Below are 22,658 nucleotides of genomic sequence, written 5' to 3' on the forward strand. Positions count from 1 at the left end.
TTATTTGTAAAAATAAAAATTCCTAAGCTGTTAAGTTTACCTGGGTACAAAGTTTTTTTTTTTTTCTTGGAATCCACTGGTCTCTAATACTTATTGAGTATGTATGTTGCTTATCAATTACTCATTACCTATACACATACAGCATATATTTAAACATGTAAACACGTGTATATACATACACATTCATTTTTGGAAAATTATTAAACTCCTTTTTCTTTTATTTAAAATAAACCACACCCATTAAAAACTGGATAAAAGCCTTCTGATAAAGTCTTATCCTAAAATGAAGTGTGTATGTATATACATATAGTCAACATTAATTTTGAATACTGCACAAACTATTTTCTAGTTTAAAAATTTACAGTGATCAACTAGTTACACACTGAATCATGGGAGAAAGGCCATAGGCTGATTGTCACTTTGAGTTATGCCTTAATTACCCTGTTTCTAGTGCACTAACTTGCCAGCCACCTTCTTTTTTGTCCCCTTTATTTTTCTAAGAAGGGCAAAACATCCTTGAAGATCACTGTTATATTCATAGCAATGTGTTTTACGTTTATGGAAAACCTAAAAACCAGAGAAAGCCCACAAAATAACAGTCATTTCAAACCAGAGACAATGCATTTTTTCTCATTTATTCAAATTCACTGCAGGAAGTAAACACTAAAAGATTAAAAAACAAAACAAAAAAATTCACACTGCAGTATGTACAGTTTCATGACATCACATGAAGAAATTAAATTTCTAATAAAAATGGCAAATTATATTACTGAGCAGATCGCATCAAATTTGGTTGTGTAAACACCAGAATTCTTACTATGAATGGTAATGTGCCTATATTCCAGTATTGCTAATACTGGGATACTCTTGGAATAATGTTTGCAATGGGATTAAAAAATTCATGAAAGTAGTTGTGTGAATTCTTTATGTTTAAAAGTGGTTGACGATTAAAAAAATTCTTTAAGACCCTTCGAATCAAAGCACATTCTTTCACAAAGCTTAAACCACAGACGTCATGTCCAGAAATGGAATACTGTCATGTTAGGATGAACATCTGATCTGATTTGTTAAGACATTTTGCCAAATGCACAGATGCACAGGGTCCCCCATGCACTTTTCATGCAGCAGGTAATCACAACTTAAATAAAAGGTTTATTCTATACATTTGTCCAGACTTGCAACTGTATACATACATGCACAACTTTTAAACCTGTCTGATTATATTTACACTTATACATGGAATATACAGGAACCAAAGAGATTAAAAGGCTTTTCTGTTGCATTAGAACAATACAAAATATGTATTTTTCATTAAGGAAATCACTATTTACATCACCTTTAAAAACCGATTTTAACATCTTCATGTAACAAGTCAATATATATATATATACATATTATATATATATATATATATATATATATAAAATATATACTCTCACCAGTTTACTCTTCTGTAAGATGCAGCAGAGAATAAACAGGTAATGAATGCTACCTTACTGATGTCAATAAGCTGTAGTACCCTTTCACAAATGACTTTATTAGAAGAAATTGTCTAGATATCTAAAATAGTCCTTGAAAATGTGTATATGTGCATCCTTGTATCTACATATGCATAAACAAAGTGAATCTGTGGATGTATGCCCTTTCTCACTGTTCTTTAAAATCACCCTAAATTCAAATTGGGAACATTCTCTAGTAAATCAGAACAGCATTCTTCGTGGTCATGTTTATTTAAGTATTACATATTCTCATTCCTTTGTTAACAACAACGAAAACAACCAGCCAACCAAAAAAACAAAACAAAACCCACACACACACACACAAAAGTAGCAATGCTGGCCCTTGGTCTTTTCCCTGACCTAAATTTCACTCTCTTGTAAAAAGGTCATTTCCCCCTACCCAAGGGAGAATACCAACATATTTTTTCTGACATACCTCTAAGGCTCCAAACCTTCCACAACGATCAAGAAAAATGACTTGTTTAAAAGCTTATTTATATAGTGTTGACAATAAGATTGTCATAGTATGGACATGGAATAGAATATATTCAACTGGCCAGTGGAATTTTATGTCAGAATAAGCCTATGCCTTCACTTCTCCATGATGTTGCATAATACCCACTCCTATTACTGTATAATATTTCCAGTAGCTATTTACAAATCATTCTGAGGAAAAATAACCATTTAGGGTTTTAGATCATATTAGGAAATCACACCTATTTTTAATATAAAAATCTTAGAAACCACTTCAAGTAGAACAATTTTAAATCAATATCCTAACTAGTAGTGATTATAGAATAATTTTTGATAGGTCATTTGCTAACCTGGTTCACAATTAAGAACAAAATATCTGGTGAATGAATTGTGGATTGTACAAACTGAACATAAAAACAGACCTGTTTCGCAACTGAAACCCCATGTGGCTTCACTAATATATTAATTTCTTCTAAGACAGTATCAACATGTACTTTTCATCACTACTTTAAAGTAAAAGATCCAATGGAGTGATTGTGTACAATTCTGTCACGTATATGTGCCCTTTGTACTTTTTATTTAGTCAATCTGAGTTTAGTGCCCTTCTTGGGTTTAAACTAAATGTTGTAAGCTTTGTTGGCATTGTTCTTAGGACAATGGTTTTAATAAAGGTTAAGGATGCATTCAGGAGAAGTTTCCAAACCATCCTGGAATCACCTGAGTTTGGTAAGTGGCCCTGTTTTTCCATCCCTAAGGCTAACTAAGTAGATGTTACTCATTAGAACACACAAATAATCACAGATTTTCCTGAGATGTTGAGCCAGATATGAAAGTTATCCCCTCCACCCAATTTTTGTCATAAAAAGTGTTCTGAACCCGATTTCCAAAGACATAACGGTAATATATGAACTACAATATTGCAAATTTTGAGCTGATGTGTGACTGTATTGGGGAAAATAGAGGCATCACATAGTTTTTTGTTTTTGTTTTACAGTCTCATGTTCTGAGGAAAGTCATAAGTCATGGTTCTCAAACACAAGAAACACCTAGAGAGCATGTTAAGATGCAGATGGAAGATTCCAGGTCCACTTAGCAGAGATTCTTGTTCTGTAGATCTGAGATGCTGCCTATGAATCTGCATTTTAAAACAAGTGCTCCAGATGGTTCTAATGCAAGTGGTCTGAGTTCAGGTTTAAGGAATCCTGGTCATAACACTCGCAGGTACCACAGGAATGGTGAGAATTAACTTTTACAAGAGATGGTGAAAACTGTCCAAAGAAAAGCCATTTTGCTTCTGTTAAAAACAATTTCTTAAATATTCAACTTTTCAGGAAACCACCTAAAGATAAATGTTAACTTTTCTAATTCTGTAAAAGGAGGAGTATTAATTTAGTAAAGTAGTTAAAATACAAAAAATGGAAATCTGCCTTTTTTTTAAAGGATCTATCAAACTTCCCTCAATTGTAATCAATTTTTACTAAGTAGCACAAGGTTTAAAGAAATATATATTGAAAAGGATCAGGGTGGGACAGACACATTGGGAACCACAAAACCTCTTCCAAGAGTTAAAAATAAACACCTTTTTTTTTTCTTTTTAGCAAAAGTGAAAAATGTAAGCATATATTTTTCTAATTTATTTTTGAATTGGATAATAAGCTGTGAATCAGCACTAGGTTTTTTTTTATTGGATAATTATCCTTTAAAGAGTTGTTTAACAGTTTAGACTTTAAAAATGTGTTATGTAGGCTGACTTCTGAAAAGCAAAATAAAGTACCCTAATAAAGGCAGCAAAATGCATTAATCCACTATGAATGGAGTTTTACATTTTAATTTATGCCTAATATTTATAAAAGAATTTCATTCATAGGCTACTCACAGTTGTTATCTGATGCATACAGAAGTGTTAAACAACCAATTGCTAGTTCAGTAGTTTCCTCATGACATCTAATGTTAAGCAAAAATTAGTATGCATATTTCAACATCACCAGTAACCAATACTTTTCAAAATGAAAAAAGTTTCAATTATACCATGCTTTTTTTCAAATCATGCTCTTATTTATACAGATCTCAAGTTCATACTCATTAGTTTTAAAAAGATCCAAAACTGGATGGCAGGTACATTTTATTCTGATTCTTTCTTTATCGTTAGCACGCTTCCCAGAAGTCCATAAACTTCTCCATTTGCGCTGTGTGGGCGAGAAGCATTATTTCCCATATGGCTATTGTAAGGGCTTCTTAAATTAAAGAAAGAAGCTTTCGTTTCTGCAGTAGGAAGTAACTCTTCTTTGGCTGTGACCTGTGAGACACTTTCAGCAGATGAAGCCTCCCTCCAAATGTCCTTGTCTTGTGTTTCTCGACTGGTAACAGAATTGCCTCCTTTTTGAAGCATGTAATATAGTATTGGGTTGGTTTTGGTCAATCTTGGAGAGTCTTTTTCATACTCATTCTTCTCCGCATCAGTGATAACCCACTTAATGGGTCCTTTCTCACTGGGCATGGAACACCCATTCAAAAGCCCAGATTCTGGTCTAGACCCTGCACAGCCCAAGTGCTCAGGGAAAGTAGGACTCACAGGAGTTTTTACTACACCTGGGTATGAAAATGTCCTGTTATCCATGCAACTGCTGGGCTGAGTGGAACTGTACATCAGTCCATTTAAAGAAGAAATGCTAAATTCAGGTTTGCTGTTGGTCACATTATTTTTGTGTCCTTTCTTTTTACTGTCAGCCACAGAGTTACTTCTGTGCGGGGACAAATCTCGCACACAGTTTTCTGAGAGAAGCAGCTGTTTCAGAACATTAAAGCTTTTGCTCTCTCTGGCCCAACTCCTGTGTTCACTTTCGCTGGCTGAGCCATGACCAGCAGGATATTTAAATTCAAGATCATTTCTGCTAAATTTCAGCTCTTCCTGGTTAAGCAAGGACCCATACAGTACTTCTGGGGCACTGTGATTGTTTGCAGCATCAACAATGTTGTTTTTCATCTTTTTAAATGGATTTTCTAATGGCTCAGTATAAAGCTTCCTTTTCTTAGGGACCATGCAAAGATTCTTTGATTCTAGAAGTGCCATTTCATTATTTCTGTGACTCCTGTCTGAATCATCTGCCAGGTAACTATCTTGATTTTGTCTTAGCAATCGACTTAGCAGACCATTCTTGGAGAAAGAAAAATCCTGAGGTGAAACAGGCTCCGATTTAAAGTCTTCGGACACTGGTAAGGCAGGTGCGCTTCTCTGCACAGCAGGAGCCATACCCAAGAATGGGGCACTCTTAGCATCATGGCTCAAGTGCACATTTGTGTTAGGAATTTGTAAGTCATCACAAGGCTCAGATTTTATTTTCACCATCAGTATTTGTTCACTTAAAGCTCTCTCTGAGTGTTCCTGAGTACTTTCATCTCTTAAGGGAGTTTTCTCTTTTTTTTCACTCTTCCCTTTGTTGGGGTTCCCCAGGAGCAACTGGAGGACAGTACGTCTTTCAAGCAGATTTTCTATTTCAGAACCAGAAAGCCCTGGTTCAGGACCTGTTGGTTGACTACTAAATGCTTTATTTTCTTCAACTGCATTTGTTTTATTTGAGAGCAAAGGGCTATTTAATCTATCAATCATACCTATCGGTTTATCTGTGTTTCCAGTTAACAGCTGTTTGCTGGGTCTCTGCTCTTCCACTGACATGGATGACTGCATTCCACATTGTGCTAAATTTTGTAACAGCTTACTGGCACTAAACGTTGCAGAGTTCTGTGCACCTTCATTTTGGGCTGGTTTCTCTCCTGGTGGGTCTTTGCTTTTTGTAAGGTCCATTGAGTGGTTAGATGCAGTATTTGTTAGCTTTTCAGACTGAGTACTGCAGACATATGGTGGGGAATTCCATTTGATGACCAGAGAGTGTTGAGAGAGATTGATGGGAGACCCTGCTTTGCTTGATGTAAGTAAAGGTGGAGTGCTCACTGGAGTAGTCCGATTTGTACTGGGGCTTTCTATCACAGAAGTCCTTGCATAATTTTGTGTATTGAACTTGCTCACATCATTGTGTACTCCCTGAGGGCTGGTGTTTTTTTCTACATTTTCTTCATTCTTATGGCCAAGTAGCAATTGAAGAAGTGTTACTTTCTGGTGTGAGTTTAGCTTAGAATTCTTTGAGGTATCTTGATCTTCTTTGATATCTACATCTGGGACTTTTGGATCCCAAGTGTTTAGCAAGGATTGAGTGAAGTTATCCAGGGAAACAGGTTGGTCAGATTCTGATTTTTCAGTTCGGTGTTTGCAAGACAAGTCTATGGGAACACAGTTGGAATAAGAACTTTCATCACCACTGCTGTCATCTGTAAAACTAGGATTGTTATCTGAATATTCATCAATAGTTGTAGGTGTACTACTTTCCTCAAAAATGCTTCCTCTCTCACTGTGACTGTGTCCATTCATTGGCTTAGGTATAGTCTGGCTTTTAAGAAGATGTAAAAGCAAACTATTGTTAGCAGCTTGTTTTATATTGTTTCTTTCCAGTGAGTTCTTATAACCTGCATTTTTAGGGGAAGAAGGAATGATACCCATTGGATTTTGAAACACTGTAGCACTACTTTTGCTAGCCATCAGTTTGCTTGATGATGTTCTTGCCTGACCATTAAGATGGCTTGACATTCCTTTTGGGAGCTGGTAACTGCCAACATCCTTCTGGCCATTTTCTTGCAATCTGGCCATAGCAGCAAGTCTTTCACTTGCTGCTTGATTTGCATTTTGCGTTTTTAAAGCGTGTTCTCGAGAATACTGCTGCAAATGGGCTTCGCTTGACAGAAGTAATGCTAACTGGCTACAAGCAACACTAGGTTTAGGTGAGGTGGCAGGACTAGCCCTTTTTTCCACCATGCTTGCAACAGCCTGTAATCTTGCAGCACATGACAACGGTTCACTCATGACCTTTGTTCCACTTTGTCCAACATGATGAGGAGACTCTGCAAACCTATCTCTGATGAGGTTTTTAGTCACATCAGGAAGATTCGTATCAGGCTTTTGATCTTTAACTTTACTTTTCTTCAACAAAGTTTTTAAGTGACTTGATGCAACACCATAGCACCTTAAATCCTTCTCCACTTTTAAAGAATCATGACTGAGGGCATATCCTTGCTCCTTGAGGCTCTGCCTGATTTGTTGTGACAGAGCAACAGTCTGCAGCCTAGAGCTGAATGACTGAAGCAAAGAGGCCAGTAATGTGCTATCCTGTTTGCCTTTAGGCACACTGTCAACCATGCCAGCTAGCAAAGCTTCCTTCTTTACGTTTAAATTCATGATAGAATCAGACAGCCTCTTCCGCTTTGCTGCATTCCAGTCCTCAGAAGACTGCAACAGTCTGGCTTTTTTGAGGTGCAGCATGCCAGACCCCTGATATGTATGTGTATTGAGAACTGGACCATTACTTTGACAGGTGGGAAATGCACTGCCAGAAATGTTAAAGTTCTGATCCTCTTCATTATGCCCAGCAGACTTTTTGTCAACGGCAGTACCTGATCCCCCTGCTGCCTGATGCATTAGTAATCCTTCTAGGTAAGTTAAAACAATAGAATCCTGGTGCACATCAGAGCCAAGCTCTTCTCCATGAGTCATGTTCAATAGAAGTGTTCACAAGGGCTTGGTTTCTATTCACTTTAAAGAATGGTTTTCTGTGGTGAGTGCGATGTAACTTTAATAAAGGAGTATCAGTTTATCACCTTCCATCGCAATCAGAGAGAGACGTACTGTTACATTCTGTCCAAGATTTCTTCTGGCAATGACAAGATAAATGCAGTCTGACCACAGTGCTGATCAACTTCTACGCAAGGAGGAGGAGAAGAATTCCTTAACACATAGGTCTGTAGCAGTAAGCAGATAGAATCCTTAGTGAATATATTCCTTTTCCTTCTTCATCTTTTGTTCCCCATTAAATGCAAATATCAGTGTTCTAAAAAAAATAAAAATAAGAATAGTTAAGGAGGCAGAACTAGAATCACGTTATGATACCTACAAGCAAAATAATATAGCATCTGTAAATGTATATATATATTACATATAAATAATAGACATATAAATGGATTATAGTCACTTTAGTAATTTGTTTTATTGCCGTTCCTATTCAATTGAAAATGTCTACTGGAAATCCTGTGGGTTAATGCATACTGTTAAAATGATCAAATCATTAGAGAAGAGAACATACTTTAATGTTACATAGCCATCTTCCAAAGCCGCCAAGTCTCTGAATTTTCATAAGCACCTTTCTGCAAAGTAATGTGAATGTTCAGTCTCCTTTATAGCTTTATAGCTCTACAGGGGAACTAGAACTTGCTTCCTTACATTACTGGGCACTTAGGAAGAAACAAAAGTAGATGTGCAGAAAAAGGAAAAGAGATGCAGACTCTGATGAGTCTGATGTGGGGTTGAGGCCAACAGAACAGATTCATTTCTGACATCATCCCCCAAACACCAGACATTCCATAAGTAATTTTTAGAATTTCCGTTTTCAAAAAAATGAAACCACTAACAAGTTGAAGATTATTTTGTGAGTCTGTTCAAAGTGTGACCATCTTAATCATATTCATAAACATTAAAATACAGTCATAAACTTACCTACCCATACTTTTTACCATGACTTATTAAAGACAGAGAGGAGTGATTCTTTAGATGCTTGTTCAGGGCTATCAAGGGTTTAATGTAGTTCGTTAGTAAATCCTTACTCATGTGCTCTATGGAGAAGTCTTAATGTCAGGTCCATTCCTTACAGATACAGAAGACAGGGAGGGCATAAACATATATAAAAAGTACAATGGAGAATGCCAAAGACATTTTAGTCACAGTTTGAAAAATATTCCAATGATATTTATTATCTAAGAAGAGACCAAAAAATTTCCTATCACTAACACATACACAACAGAAGAAGCAAGAACTCATTGCATTTCTGAAAACTTGATAGGTAAGTGTCAAAATTGACCTAAGGAAGGGGGGCCATGACACCTTTGGAAGAGAAGCTGGAATAAATTCCATGCAGTTTGTTTTTCAAGATGCCAGAACATTTTGTTTAAGTTATCAGACCTGAAGCTATCAACAAATACCTTGGTCCCTATGGAATTTAAAAGATAAATTTTAATTGAAAGACTACCCTGTAGCTTTTTAAGTACAATGCTTAACTCTAAGTCAAACTTTAGGAAATAATTATCTGATTGTATCAAATTGTTGAATTTATTGATTAAAAGGATAAGAAATGATAGCCAAAGAAAAAGATACAGAAAGGAGGCAGCAACAATTAATTTCAACTGTGTAAGGAGTAGGATGAGAAGAGACTTTCTTGAGATTCCAATGCCACCATTTTAAGAAGCTTTGCCATAATGTACTTAAGATGGATATTTTAAGAGGTTAATAATGATATAGAAATGAAATGGTTATCATGACTGCCACCAAATATCCATTCTCCCATTTTCATTTACTAATAAAACCCTGACTTGTTTTTCAGGGAGTAGGGAGGTATCCCAGCTAAACACTACTTTTCTCCCCCCTCTGGTTATATTTTACAATTGATGGCATGTTGCTTAATTGGAGGCTTATTTTTCTTTCTTAGTGGTATAAAACATACGGGTACATTTTACAACTGATAACATCTTGGAGTTGAGGAAACCCAGTTTTCTAATTCTCTCAAAAAACTTAATATGGCCAGGTACGGTGGCTCACACCTGTAATCCCAGCAATTTAGGAGGCCGAGGTGGGTGGATCGCCTGAGGTCAGGAGTTTGAGACCAACCTGACCAAAATGGTGAAACCCCATCTCTAGTAAAAATACAAAAATTAGCCGGGTATGGTGGCATGCGCCTGTAGTCCCAGCTACTCAGGAGGCTGAGGCAGAAGAATTGCTTGAACCTGGTAGGCAGAGGTTGCAGTGAGCCGAGATCGTGCCACTGCACTCCAGCCTGGGTGACAGAATGACACTCTATCTCAAAACAAACAAAACAAAAATAACAACTGCTAATATACAATTAATTCTCAACTAGTTAAGACATTTAACAACCATTTAATGGGATATGCAAGTCCACTGTATTTCTCTCCACACCACTGCCAACCTTTTTGCTCTTGGGTAGACTCAAGAAAGTCAAAATCATACCAGTCATTTGAAAACTGGTTTGTAAACAGCCATAAAACATACTTTATTTAAGAATAAGAATGAAATAAGGAGCATCTTTGAGTTCATATTACTCCTGTTATTGCTTTCTACTTTTTACTGTGCATGATATAATTTGCAAAGTATTATTCATTGCTTTAAAAAGACTGAATTTACACATTTCTGAATTTACAAAGCAGATTTGGAAGTTGATTTAAAAAGGAATTATCACAGTTTCCTTGTAAAGGAGCTCTAACACTGTATTTTACCATTTATTTACCTCTCTACCATTTATTTCCTATCTTCACAGAGAAAGTAGATGACAGATATTAAGAATAATCATCTCTTAATAATCCATTTTTTGGCAATCAGCTTTCTCAGGTTGAAAATCATTTCTTACATATGAAAACAATTTTTAACTTCAAGAACGAAAATGACATATACAAATAATTTTATTAAGCTCCTTGGGTCTGAGGACTGTGCTAATTATAATTACTACAGTGCAACACAGTCAACAGATAACTGAACCTTGGGATACATTAAGTTATTCAATGACCAAATTCCCAGTAGGAAGGAAGGGAATTTGACATTCAAACACACACATTCTCTCACTCTCAAAAAATATATAGATGAGATACTAAAATAATTCGAATCACAAATTTGAAACCACACACTGTAGTTCATCACTTGAAGGAATCACGAGGAGAAGGTCATTCTAAATATTCAATTGTTTATTTCATTTAAATCAATACAACATATTCTTACTGAACTCCCAATCTGCTTCAAGATCTGTCTTAGGATTGGTGAATTATGTTCATTTTTAAAAAGGGATGTGATAGACAACATCTAGAGAAACAGGCAAGGTGAACATCCACCTTTAAGTTTCTAGAACATCTCTAATAATAAAAATATCTTCTCCTCATGCTACTTCTTTTCACATTTTCACATGACTCTTATATCACCAAGCACAAAAAAATTAAAAAATGTGATATGAAAAATCTTCCAAAGATTGTTTTAAGATTTTTAAATGAAAACTATAAAACAAACATTTTTAGTTCAGAAAATGTGGTTACCATAGTATGGATAAAAGTCACTATGTGTATGCACTAAGCTTTCACACTTTCTTCTAGAGAAGTGGACCAGTAACACATTTAGAATAGATTTAAAAGGAAGATGAATAATTGCTTCCAAAATATTCTAAGTCAAGGCAGTTATTTTTCATTAATTTCTTTGAAAAAAATCCTATAAAACGTACCAATTACATGAAGTAGTGGAGAAAAAGGATTTTCTTATGGAGACCTGTTTTTTAAATGAGATAAATCTGTAAATCAAAGATTGTGGTCACGTGGAGAGGCTGCCTCAGGTGACACAGCAGCAACACCTACCACTGTTCTAGCAGAAAATGAAGTGTCTATCCTAGGAAAGCAGGAATTCTTACACCCCTTAAGGCCTGAACGCACTTAGCTCCTTCTATTGAAAGCTCTTCAGGGAGCAGAGTGAGCCAAATTTCTTTAGATATCTTCCTTTTCTATCTCTTAAACTAGAGAGGGAGAAATCACTAACAATCCTTCTCACCTTTCCCAATCCTTGCCTTTTCATTTCTATAGTATAGAATATAATTGAGAAATATAGCAAAAAAAGAAAATGAGGCACGATACTAAATAGTACAGCTTGTTGGGACCTATGGATTTAGGGTATTAAGGTAAAATATGACCACTACCTAATAAATAGACGTTTTAAGGTTAAAATGTTATTTTAAGTTATTCAATATTAGCTTAACTCATTTTCTTTTAGTGAAAGACAACCACATTATTCATGAAATTCCAACATATAGTTCTCTTGCCTGGTTTTATATAAATATAACTTAAGAATGTTGCCAGGTGTATTCTTGAGTATATTTAGTTACCAATACCTAAAAGTCAACACACATTTAATAATTAGGTTTCTTTAGAGCAGCAGTCCCCAACCTTTTTGGCACCAGAGACTGGTTTCATGGAAGATAATTTTTGCATGGAGTAGCGGGGTGGAGATGGTTTCAAGATGAAACTGTTCCACCTCAGATCATCAGGCATTAGATTCTTATAAACAGTGGGGAACCTAGATCCCTCACATGTGCAGTTTACACTAGGGTTCGCACTTCTATGAGAATCTAATGCTGCCACCGATGTGACAGGAGGCGGAGCTCAGGCGGTAATGCTTGCTGGCCCACTGCTCACCGCCTGCTGTGTGGCCCAGTTCCTAACAGGCTTGGCCTGGGGGTTGGGAACCCCTGCTTCAGAGAATTGCAATTAATGTATATTTTGAAACTGGAATTGTTTATAAAATATTGAATCCTCTGGTTTGTTATTTTCTTAATTTTGATGGTGATTTCATTAGAGCTTGTGCATGTGTCTATTTAAAGTTATTAAACATTTGCATCACAGTAAGGGAGAGACTTTACTTGTATGGTATATACTTGTTAAATAACTTCTAAGTAAAGAAAACAGAACTTTTCTAGAATTTGGCTTATGGCGGATGAGAAGAACCAAAGGAAGTAAAAATACTAAAGGGACAGAAAAAGAAAAAAAAAAGGGAAAAATACTAAGAACAAATAAAGGCATCATGAATTCTGCAACTCTCATGAGGTGCCAGAAGGAAAAACTTAGTTTACAAACTAAGTAGATTATATTACTAGCCTGCCTTTAAACATTAGGTTGGTAGATATGACATGCAAAGTGAAGAAACATCTTTTATGAACACTAAAAATGCATATATACAACGAGAAAAAAGTAAAACCTACACAATAATAGAATAAAAGCTAACTCAGTGATGTTTGTTTCAACTTGGCTGTCATTTTTATAGAGTGGTTCCATAAAATTTTGAGGAAAAAATGGTTAATTTTAACAAAAAATTTAGTATAACATTCAGGATACCAAGAAGTACTAAATTTTGATTTCAGTATTATCGTCTTAAGTGAAAATCAGCTCGCATAATTTTTTTTTTTTTTTTGAGACAAGTTCTCATTCTGTTGCCCAGGCTGGACTGCAGTGGTGAGATCACAGCTCACTGCAGCCTCAGCCTCCTGGACTCAAGGGATTCTCCCACCTCAGTCTCCCAAGCAGCCGGGAATACAGGTGTGTGCCACCATGCAGAGCTGATTTTTTTTTTTTTTTTTTCCTGTGGAGATGGGGATCTCACAATGTTGCCAAGGCTCATCTTGAACTCTTAGCCTCAAGTGGTCCTCCTGCCTTAGCCTCTCAAAGTGCTGGGATTACAGGCGTGAACCACCACACCTGGCTCTTTTACAATTTTAGTTCATTTTAACCCTCAGTACACCAAGAAAAACAGTCATCATCATTTATCATCTGGGTCCAAAAGACATTTTATTAATATTTAAGTTAATTCATGAATAATTTACACAATAAGAATAAAGAAATGACACAAAACAACTTCACTGATTTTTTTTCATAAGAATTTAAACATAACATTGTAATTCAATTCTTCATTCCCTGTTTTCCTGGTTTTGAAGGAGTATATATCTGAAAAGGACAAGGCGCTTTGAAACTGACAGCTCATCAACAGGTTCATGGATGAACCTGGAAATATTTATAAATATTGATTCCAGATTTCAGGTATGTGTTTAAAAGGACTCTTGGGTCTTCTTCTTGTACTTGAAGAATTCAAAATGTGTTACTTTTGATAATTTTAATAGCTCATAATGATGTTGAAAAGATGACAGAAATTTCTGCTTCGTAATTGCCCAATATATTTCATTTTTAGACTAACAGCAATTACAATGATCAATCCAATGAATTACTTCATTTCTGTATCATCTCTTTCTTTACAATCTCCTCTATCAAACACCTGCCTTAAGTATCTGTCCACTTACGAACAGTGTCAAATAAATTTGGTGTTCCAAAAATCATAAAAGATGAAAGAATACTGTCACACACCCTTTGAAGAAAACAGAGCCATTGAAGTTTTTGCCACAAAACACTTGAGTGTTGAATACCGAGCAATGCAGTCTTTCCTAATGAATAACTAACTGTATGAAAATACTATACTTACTTTTTGTCCTGAGAACTGTATTTTTGAACTATATTGTTACTCATTGCTCCCTGTGTTTGAGAAAATTCACCTGGCTGGGCGCAGTGGCTCATGCCTGTAACTTCAGCACTTTCAGAGGCTGAGGCAGGATGAATGCTTGAGCCCAGGAGTTCGAGACCAGCCTGGGCAACATGGCGAGACCCCATCTTTACAAAAACATTAAAAAAAAAATAGCTGGGTGTGATGTTATCAGCCTGCAGTTTCAGCTACTTGGGAGGCTGAGGTGGGAGGATCACCTGAGTCTGGGGAAGTCAAGGCTGCAGTAAGCCATGATAGCACCTGTGCACTTTAGCCTGGGTGACAGAGCAAGACCCTGTGGAAAGAAAGAACAGGAAGGACGAATGGATGGAAGGAAGGAAACATTCATCTAGGATGTATCTGAAGACAACAGTCAGTGGTATTGCTTATATAATCAATAGCACCATAATCATTCACATGTAAAGTATTAGCATCAGTTTTTTTCCATTCATCTTCTGGTTTATCTAAGTGAAATATCTTCGTTTGTCAACTTTCCTCTTTGACATTACAGACAGAAAAATACTGAATCATCAATTTTTAATAAAAACTTAAAACAAAAGGGAAAGACTATAAAGACAGTGTCTCCAGATGTTTTATTTTTATTTTTTTACATTCTTGAAAGATAATGTAGTATAATGGGCTCTAAGAAAACTGAAGATGGGGCTGGGTACGGTGGCTAGCCTGTAATCCTAGCACTTTGGAAGGCTGAGGTGGGAGGATCACTGGAGCCCAGGAGTTTGAGGTTACAGTGAGCTATGACTGAGTTACTGTACACCGCATTCTAGCCTGCGTGACAGAATAAGACACTATTTCTTTAAAAAAAAAAAAAAAAAAGGAAGGAAGGAAGGGAGAGAGAGAGAGAAAGAAAGAAAGGGAGGGGAGGGGAGGAATAGAATGACGGTAAAACAGTGATGATTTCAGTATTGCCTCATCCTTCTAGACACTTCCGTTATTTTTACTTTTTATTATTTTAGCCTTTTTTTTAAAGGACAGTTGGGAATAAATAATAAATTCATTGCCAAAATGGTAAAATGCCAAAATACTTAAAGATACAGAAAAAATAAGATCACTAAGATTCCATATGTACTTTTGACTTCTAAAAGGTTCCAATGGACATATATAGTAACAGCAAGGTACTATGTTTGAGTCTATTAAGGACACATTCATTAAAACTTCAAAAATGTGGTATTATCCTTCCTACCACTTACAAATATATTTTTTAAAAAAGCATTTGAAAACTAAAACTGAGTCCAAAGAACCCTGATAGTATACCAAAGGTTAATGTATTTCATGATAATAAAATTCATGTCCAACTACTTAACAATGTTAAAATTATAAACAGAATCTTCCTTTTATTAATTTAAAATTGTTTATAAGCATAAAAATCCTTTAAAGTTTATAAAGTTAAGATTTTACTGATCTACATCATGTGGTGGAAAAAATCATTGTGGTGAAAAAGAATTATTTTAGAAAGTAATAAAATCAAACTAAACCATGAAAAAATTCCATGGAATCTTCACCATATGCGTAGATTGATTTGGGGAAAGATCTAAGTTTCAACACAAACTAGTTTAATGAAATATCTAATAAAATGCTTGAATTACACAGTATATTTTAAAAAGAGCTACATTTACTTTTTTTTATAAGTATCTGAAAAGTACAGAACTAAGTGATAGGTAATTTTTTTAGAGCTTTTTAAATAAAAGACAGTAGTAAATACTGTGCATACTAACAGTTCACAAATGGGTGCTATATTGATTCTCTAAAATAGCTAAACTATTTTCATTGCAATATGTTTTACATTTTCTGTTTGGAAATGGTTTATTAAACAAAGGGAAACTTTGTGGAACTTCTACACACTTTAAAATGATAAAATCCAAGTGATAAAATTTTACTTAGTTAAATGAAGAATGCATCTGGCAGAATTCTTACATGTAGGACTATTTTTGGTTGAGAATAGAGAAATAATGACAACGGTCTTTCTCCAGCTGTTTTTAAGGATTCAGTATCTTACTTGCAATTAAATACTCCATTAAAAACACATTTAAATGATTAAACATCTACGAGTTCACTTGGTATGCCATTTAAATTATATCTAAGGACTACCTCATGACTTCCAATTGTGTCCATGAGATCTCCCCCAATTTGTTCTGCAATATCAAGTAATACCTATTTGAGTACTGAATTTAAAGGGATTTCTACAATGCAGCTTTGACCATTAGGACACTTGGCTTTGCCTGGTTCCTCAAAATGCGTAAGTAATCAAAGGGCTACTTAATTATGTCATTCAAGAATAACTCCTAATGGACAATATTATTATCTATATTCCACTGTGGATAATTTCAGGGGTATTTTTATACAAATGGTAAGAAAAACATTAATATGTTTCATTAAACATTAGAAGAAAAATATCTAAGTACATACTAAGAAGATTCCAAAGTCCTAATTATTGACTCTTTTATTTAAAAAAAATACAGATCCAGGTATTCGGAGAACTCTCGTTGTTCTCCAAAGCAGGGCTTTGAAAGGAAGTTTTAAAAGCTGAATGAGAAACACTAAGCCAAAAACAATTTACCAACAGGATGTAACTCCAAACATTTTATCCGAAGGGATGAAAGTAGCTTTCCAAACCAAGGGCCAATGAAAAGTTAAAATACGTAAAACCCAACACTTAATTTCACATAAAAAGAAAGGAAAAGTAACATTTTAGGTATGGGTCCCGAAGTTTCATTTAAGAAGACAACAGTGAATCCTCTATTATCAATTAAAAAGTCACTGGAAAAAACATTTAAAAAGGAATAAAAGAAACATTCAAGTGTTGACATTTCACAGCAGGGAATAATAAGACAATAAAAGAATATGCCTGAAGTTTCATTTCTTAAAATATATTTCTAATTACTTGAAAAAAATGAATCAAAATTAATATATGTCTTTTAAGGGAATCTGAATTCCAAGATAATAACTTTCTTTGAAGTATTATCTTTATGAAAAGGTAGATGTGTGGTCATACAATTTAACAGATGCCAAAAATAATTATCTAAATACATTTTGCTCAACTGAGGGCCTCAACATTTGAAATGAGAACTGAGGAGTTTCTTGCTCTCTCCCAGGGGTTCTCATTTTAGGTGCAGATACTCCTCAGAGACAGGTGGCATGGACACCAGAGACACCGGTGACGAAAACAGCTGCCCAGGCTGCTCTCCACTGCAACCTGAAGGACTTAATTTTTTGGCCCAAGGCCAAATTTGCTCCTAACTTCTAGGTCCATTGGCTTTAACTTGCTCGTCAGCTGCTTCCATAGGAGTAAAATAGTGTCATTCACATTCCCAACTAAAAAAGACTCATTAGAGACACTCCTGCGGGAGTAACTCAAGCATTCAACGCAAGGACACATGTATATGAGGACCCCTCTAAATCTAAAATTTTATTCCTATGATTCCAAGTAATTTGTCAAATTATAGCTGATGAAAATGACAAGCATTTTAACGAGAAAGATGATATGCTGTCATAAAGTTGTGGAAATAGCCCTGACCAATATGTTTTACTGTCTTTTCAATAAATTCCGGGGGAAGGAAATGGTTTTGAAATAGCCACACACTCAACCCACCTAATGCCCCAAAAGGTATCTATGTTCACAACTTTCTTCTGTAGGGTCACAGAATTGCAAACAGATGTTTATTTAAAAGCTAAATATGAGCTTATATTCAAATTGGAACTTTTGCTTATCTCATAACAGCTATATACTGAATAAAATGGAGGATAATCACAAAGATTTAAGATCTTTGATGACACAAATAAAAGAGACAGATGAAATAACCGTTCTGGTGACAGAAAGAAACACCCCATAATTGATACGGCAAAATAAAGAAGGGCTTCTTTGTTTTGAATTCTCCTCAGAAGGCCTAGGTATATGAATCGGATTCAATAAATTTGCTATTCATTTTACACTGCCTCTATAGTTAATCTTAAAAACATTTAATTTTTAAACAAAATTAAGATGAAAAAGTTGGAGATTTTAAGTTAAAAATCAAAGATCTAGACAAAGGAGCTAGAGAAAGAGCTAAACTGCCAAACAATTTCTATTTCAAAAACACAATACATTTCTGGATGCTGTACTTCACTCTGTCTTGAAAATACTGACACTGGAAAATTGTTAAATAAAGTTAATTTTACCTACAATTTTTAAAGCTCCAGAAAACTATTACATGACAGACAGTACATACCTATTTATGATTAGTACTAATGTCTATTCACTACCTTCTACTGTTATCAAAGAAACAATAGTTTTTCTTAATGAACACAAAATAATCATTAACAAATTATTTTGGCAGCACATAAGTATAAGAAAAGAGTGTAAATACAAAATTAACAGAGAGTGTTTGCTTCTCACCTTTCTCAACAGCTCTTTGGAGTAACTGGTGCTTTCTATCAGTTTTCAAGAGCATAATATTTTCCAATCTCTATCAAAATAAGAAATGTAATGGAAAATGGATCTTTCTTCTTCTGGAATTGCTTGAGTGTTTATAGTATATATGCAGGGATATCCTTTGAGATGGGAGCATCAATCCTACTAAACTCAACTATGGTTTCCCCATCCCTAAAATAGATTTGACATACAGACACAAGCACAAGGTCAAGGTCACAGATCAGCAAGAAAGATTACCAACAGAACTGATGTAACCAGCTGGCTTTTGATCAAAGCTCCTAGGGTTTTTAGTACACTTAGACACTCTGCACTTACCCACATAGTATATACTCTGTTTTAAAAATGTTCCCCATCTTTGAAGTCAAGATCTTCATGCACTTCTTATTATAAAGTATGTTTTGTTAAATATATTGCATTGGATCAAGAATAAGAGGAGAAACCAGTATGTTTGTTTTTTTTAATAGCGACGGGGTTTTACCTTCTTGGCCAGGCTTGTCTTGAACTCCTGACCTCGTGATCCACCTGCCTTGGCCTCCCAAAGTGCTGGGATTACAGGTGTGAGCCACTGCACCCGGCCAGAATTGTGAATTTTTATGTGTTTGTGTGCCTGTATATATATATGCTTGCACTTTTATTTGTTTGCTTGTTATAACTGATCATTGCCATGTGACAATTTTAAAATTAACTTAACTTGCAGTTCCCTGAATAGATAATGCTCTCTCATAATTCCAAGCTTTTGACCCATCTGAAACTGAAATTAGTAGTATGCTCTGCAATGCCTTGGGTCACTTGTTCCCAAAAACACAGACTTAACTTGTAAGTCACTGCTTCAACAAAAGAAGTTTTATAATTTATCCATAGTCTTCCACAACAATTTTCAAATCACAGGGATCAAAAGAAACTTTAGTTATCAACAATGACAAAAACAAAAAGTGATTCTTAAAGGAATATATTATTAAATATATTAGTGCAGGCTAGATGTGGTGGCTCAACCTGTAATCCCAGCACTCTGGGAGGCTGAGGCGGGAGGAGTTCAAGACCAGCCTGGCCAACATGGTGAAATCCTGTCTCTACTAAAAATACAAAAATTAGGTGGACACAGTGGCATGAGCCTGTAATCCCAGCTACTCAGGAGGCTGAGGCACGAGAATCGCTTAAACCTGGAAGGCGGAGGTTGCAGTGAGCCAAGATCGCACTATTGCACTCCAGCTGGGTGACAGAGCGAGACTCCGTATCAAAATAAAATAAAATAAAATAAAAATAAAATAAATACATACATATATGCAATTATCTAACAAAATCATGCCTTTTGTTTTAGCTGTTTAAACAAGATGTTAAATTTATTTTAAGTTACATTTATGAAACCAAGAGTTATGTGATCAATGTTCTTACTGAAGCATTCTGGTCAAGAAATCATTTTGAAGGATGCATAAAGCTGTTGGGGTAAATTTACACTATAAAAGCTTTCCTTGCTAAATCAAGTACCACCTGCTGTAGCTTTATACAATTTGCAAACTACTTATGCTATATGTACATGTAAATGTTCTCAATTAGTGGTTTTTCATATTTTTGATAAATTAAATACCTTTGCATGAAAATAACCCAAAATTTACTATCCTAGAAAGATTGCTAGTTTTTCAAAAATAAAGTAAAAAAGAAAAATTATGTCAAATTATCAAATTAAATACTATTGAAATGACTTATATGACATCACTCTAGTCATTACAGGCTCCAAACACAAAGATATCTAGATAGAAGTTTCCAGTCAAGCTGTGGAAGAGAAATATCACTACAGACACAATTCATGAGCACCCAGACATGGTGGTGATACCTGTGAAGAGTCAATAAATCTGACTAGGTCCCATCCTACAGGATTAAGGAATCAAAACCAAAAATACTACATGCACAATGTACCTGCAGAAATTCTATGTCTTTAAATTTTCACAGGTAACATTAAAGTATGTCTGTCAACTTGGAAAATGAAGCTACCAGCACACCATCAGCAGGCCACTTACTTACTTTAAATGGTTTTATTTATTTTTATTGAAGAAACTGCGGTGCGTGCTTTACCCTGATCTCTTATTTGCCCATCTATCCATACAACCAAGTGTTTGAAGTACTAATCTCAGGAACAATAGCCAGTAAATGCTAATCTGAGAACCAGTTCTGCTGTTGTCCAGGTTTAGGGCACGTTCTGCCTGTGCAGCAGGGACAGTGACACATGCTCCTTGGCATGGCACCTGCCACTCATAGTCAGATACAGACCCAGGTTGGGGAGACTCAGGAGGCTTTAGAGGATGACTCCGGTGTGCTGAGGAGACAGAGGCAGATTAGCGGTCTAGGGAATGTGGGTCAGGGCTTTTGTGATTTCAATTGTTGGACCAAAAATGTTTCAGAACAACTTTTCTCTTAACAATAAAGAACATTAAAAACAACTACTTACTTCCTACTATTAGCATCATTTAATAAAATTAAATCACTTTAACACTGAAAACTAAAATCTTTAATGAAAATCTCTCATCATTTTTCTGTTGCTTTTTGTCTTGAGATAGAATGATGTGTGGAATAGTACATATATACTATATTGATCTCTTCACTATTTAGTAGTTCATTTGATTTTTTTTTTTTTTTTTGAGACAGAGTCTTGCTCTGTCACCCAGGTTGGAATGCAGCAGCGCCATCTCAGCTCAGCACAACCTCCGACTCCCCAGGATCAAGCGATCCTCCTACCTCAGCATCCTGAGCAGCTGGGACCACAGGCACACACCACCATGCCTGACTAACTTTTGATTTTTGTAGGGACGGGTTTTACCATATTGCCCAGGGTGGTCTCAAGCTCCTGGGCTCAAGAGATCCTCCTGCCTTGGCCTCCCAAAGTGTTGAGATTACAGGCATGAGCCACGATGCTCGGTCCTAGTTCATTCAACTCTTAAGTTACTTAAATCTTTACATCAGAATTTCCCACTGTTTATATTTTGCTTTGTGTTTTGGTCTTTCCCTTGATTTCAATTATCACATTTATATAAAATATATAATTTGTTCTATAGAAATTCTTGTCATTAAACAAGAGGTTATAAATAAGACAGCAGGGGAGAAACAGGGCAGTAAGAAGAATAAAGAACCTTCTGCTTAGTGCCCTTCCCCCCATATCATCCTTACCATCCTCATCTTTTGAGGAAAAATACATCAGACTTAAAAATGCATACAGAATCCTGTAATAAGCCCCATTTGTTTACAGTCAAGCTAAACAACTAGGACATTTCTTTCATTCTGTAAGTCTCAGCTGACAACTCATCCTCTCTTTAGGCAGCCTTCACTGAACTCCATAGCCTGAGGGTAGTTGTTCCTCTCTGTGACTCCACGGCACTCAGTAGATCTTTCAATCATCTTGCTTACAAAACTGTACGGTCACACGTCATTTTATTGTGCTTTGCTTCATTGTACTTTGCCATTATTGTGGGGTTTTTTTTTGTTTTTTTTTTGTTTTTTTTTTTTACAATCTAAGGATTTGTGGCAATTCTGTTGAGGAAGTCTATTGGTACCACTTTTCCAACAGCATGTGCCCACTTTGTAGCTCTATGTCTCATTTAGGTATTTCTCACAATATTTCAAGCTTTTTCATTATTATTCTATCTGCTACGGTGATGTGTGATCTTTGGTGTTACTATTATAATTGTTTTGGGGTGCCATGAACTGTGCCCATATCACAGCATACTTAATAAATATGTATGTTCTGATTGCTCCACCACTTAGCTGTTCCCATCTCTCTCCCTCTCCTCAGTCCTTTTTATTGCCTGAGACACAACAATATTGAAATTAGATCAATTAATAACCCTACAATGGCCTCTGTGTGTTTTGCATGTCTCACACTTTAAATCAAAAGCTAGAAATGATTAAGCTTAGTGAGGAAGGATGTTGAAAGCCAAGACAGGCCAAAAGCTCAGCCTCTTGCACCAGTTAACCAAATTGCAAATACAAAAAAAAAAAACAATTATTGTAGGAAATTAAAAATGTCACTCCAGTGAACACATGAATGATAAGA

General features: G+C 35.6%; 1 protein-coding gene across 21 annotated transcripts in view, besides 1 other annotated feature; it reads right to left on the reverse strand.

The window, feature by feature from the left end:
- The window catches only part of NRIP1 (nuclear receptor interacting protein 1), a 104,702-nt gene continuing 82,658 nt past the window's right edge, over positions 615-22,658 (reverse strand). For 19 of the 21 annotated variants that reach the window (NM_001439278.1, NM_001439276.1, NM_001439275.1 and 16 more), the window contains one exon: positions 615-7,906. In NM_001439278.1, the coding sequence (NP_001426207.1) occupies positions 4,096-7,572 (3,477 nt within the window). In that variant the 5' untranslated portion in view covers positions 7,573-7,906 and the 3' untranslated portion in view covers positions 615-4,095. Of the gene's footprint in view, positions 7,907-18,580; positions 18,651-22,658 lie in introns of all 21 variants that reach the window. The other 2 variants (XM_047440992.1, XM_047440991.1) reach the window with 1 other exon arrangement.
- Positions 10,335-10,504: an enhancer, noted in NCBI's record as "experimental_61697 CRE fragment used in MPRA reporter constructs". NCBI's record gives its function as "activates a minimal promoter by MPRAs in K562 erythroleukemia cells, with activity observed for the introgressed 21:16343361 variant allele {active_cell/tissue: K562}" and the evidence as "EXISTENCE:reporter gene assay evidence [ECO:0000049][PMID:34662402]".

Source organism: Homo sapiens, chromosome 21 (genome assembly GCF_000001405.40).
Source record: "Homo sapiens chromosome 21, GRCh38.p14 Primary Assembly".
Taxonomy (NCBI): domain Eukaryota; kingdom Metazoa; phylum Chordata; class Mammalia; order Primates; family Hominidae; genus Homo; species Homo sapiens.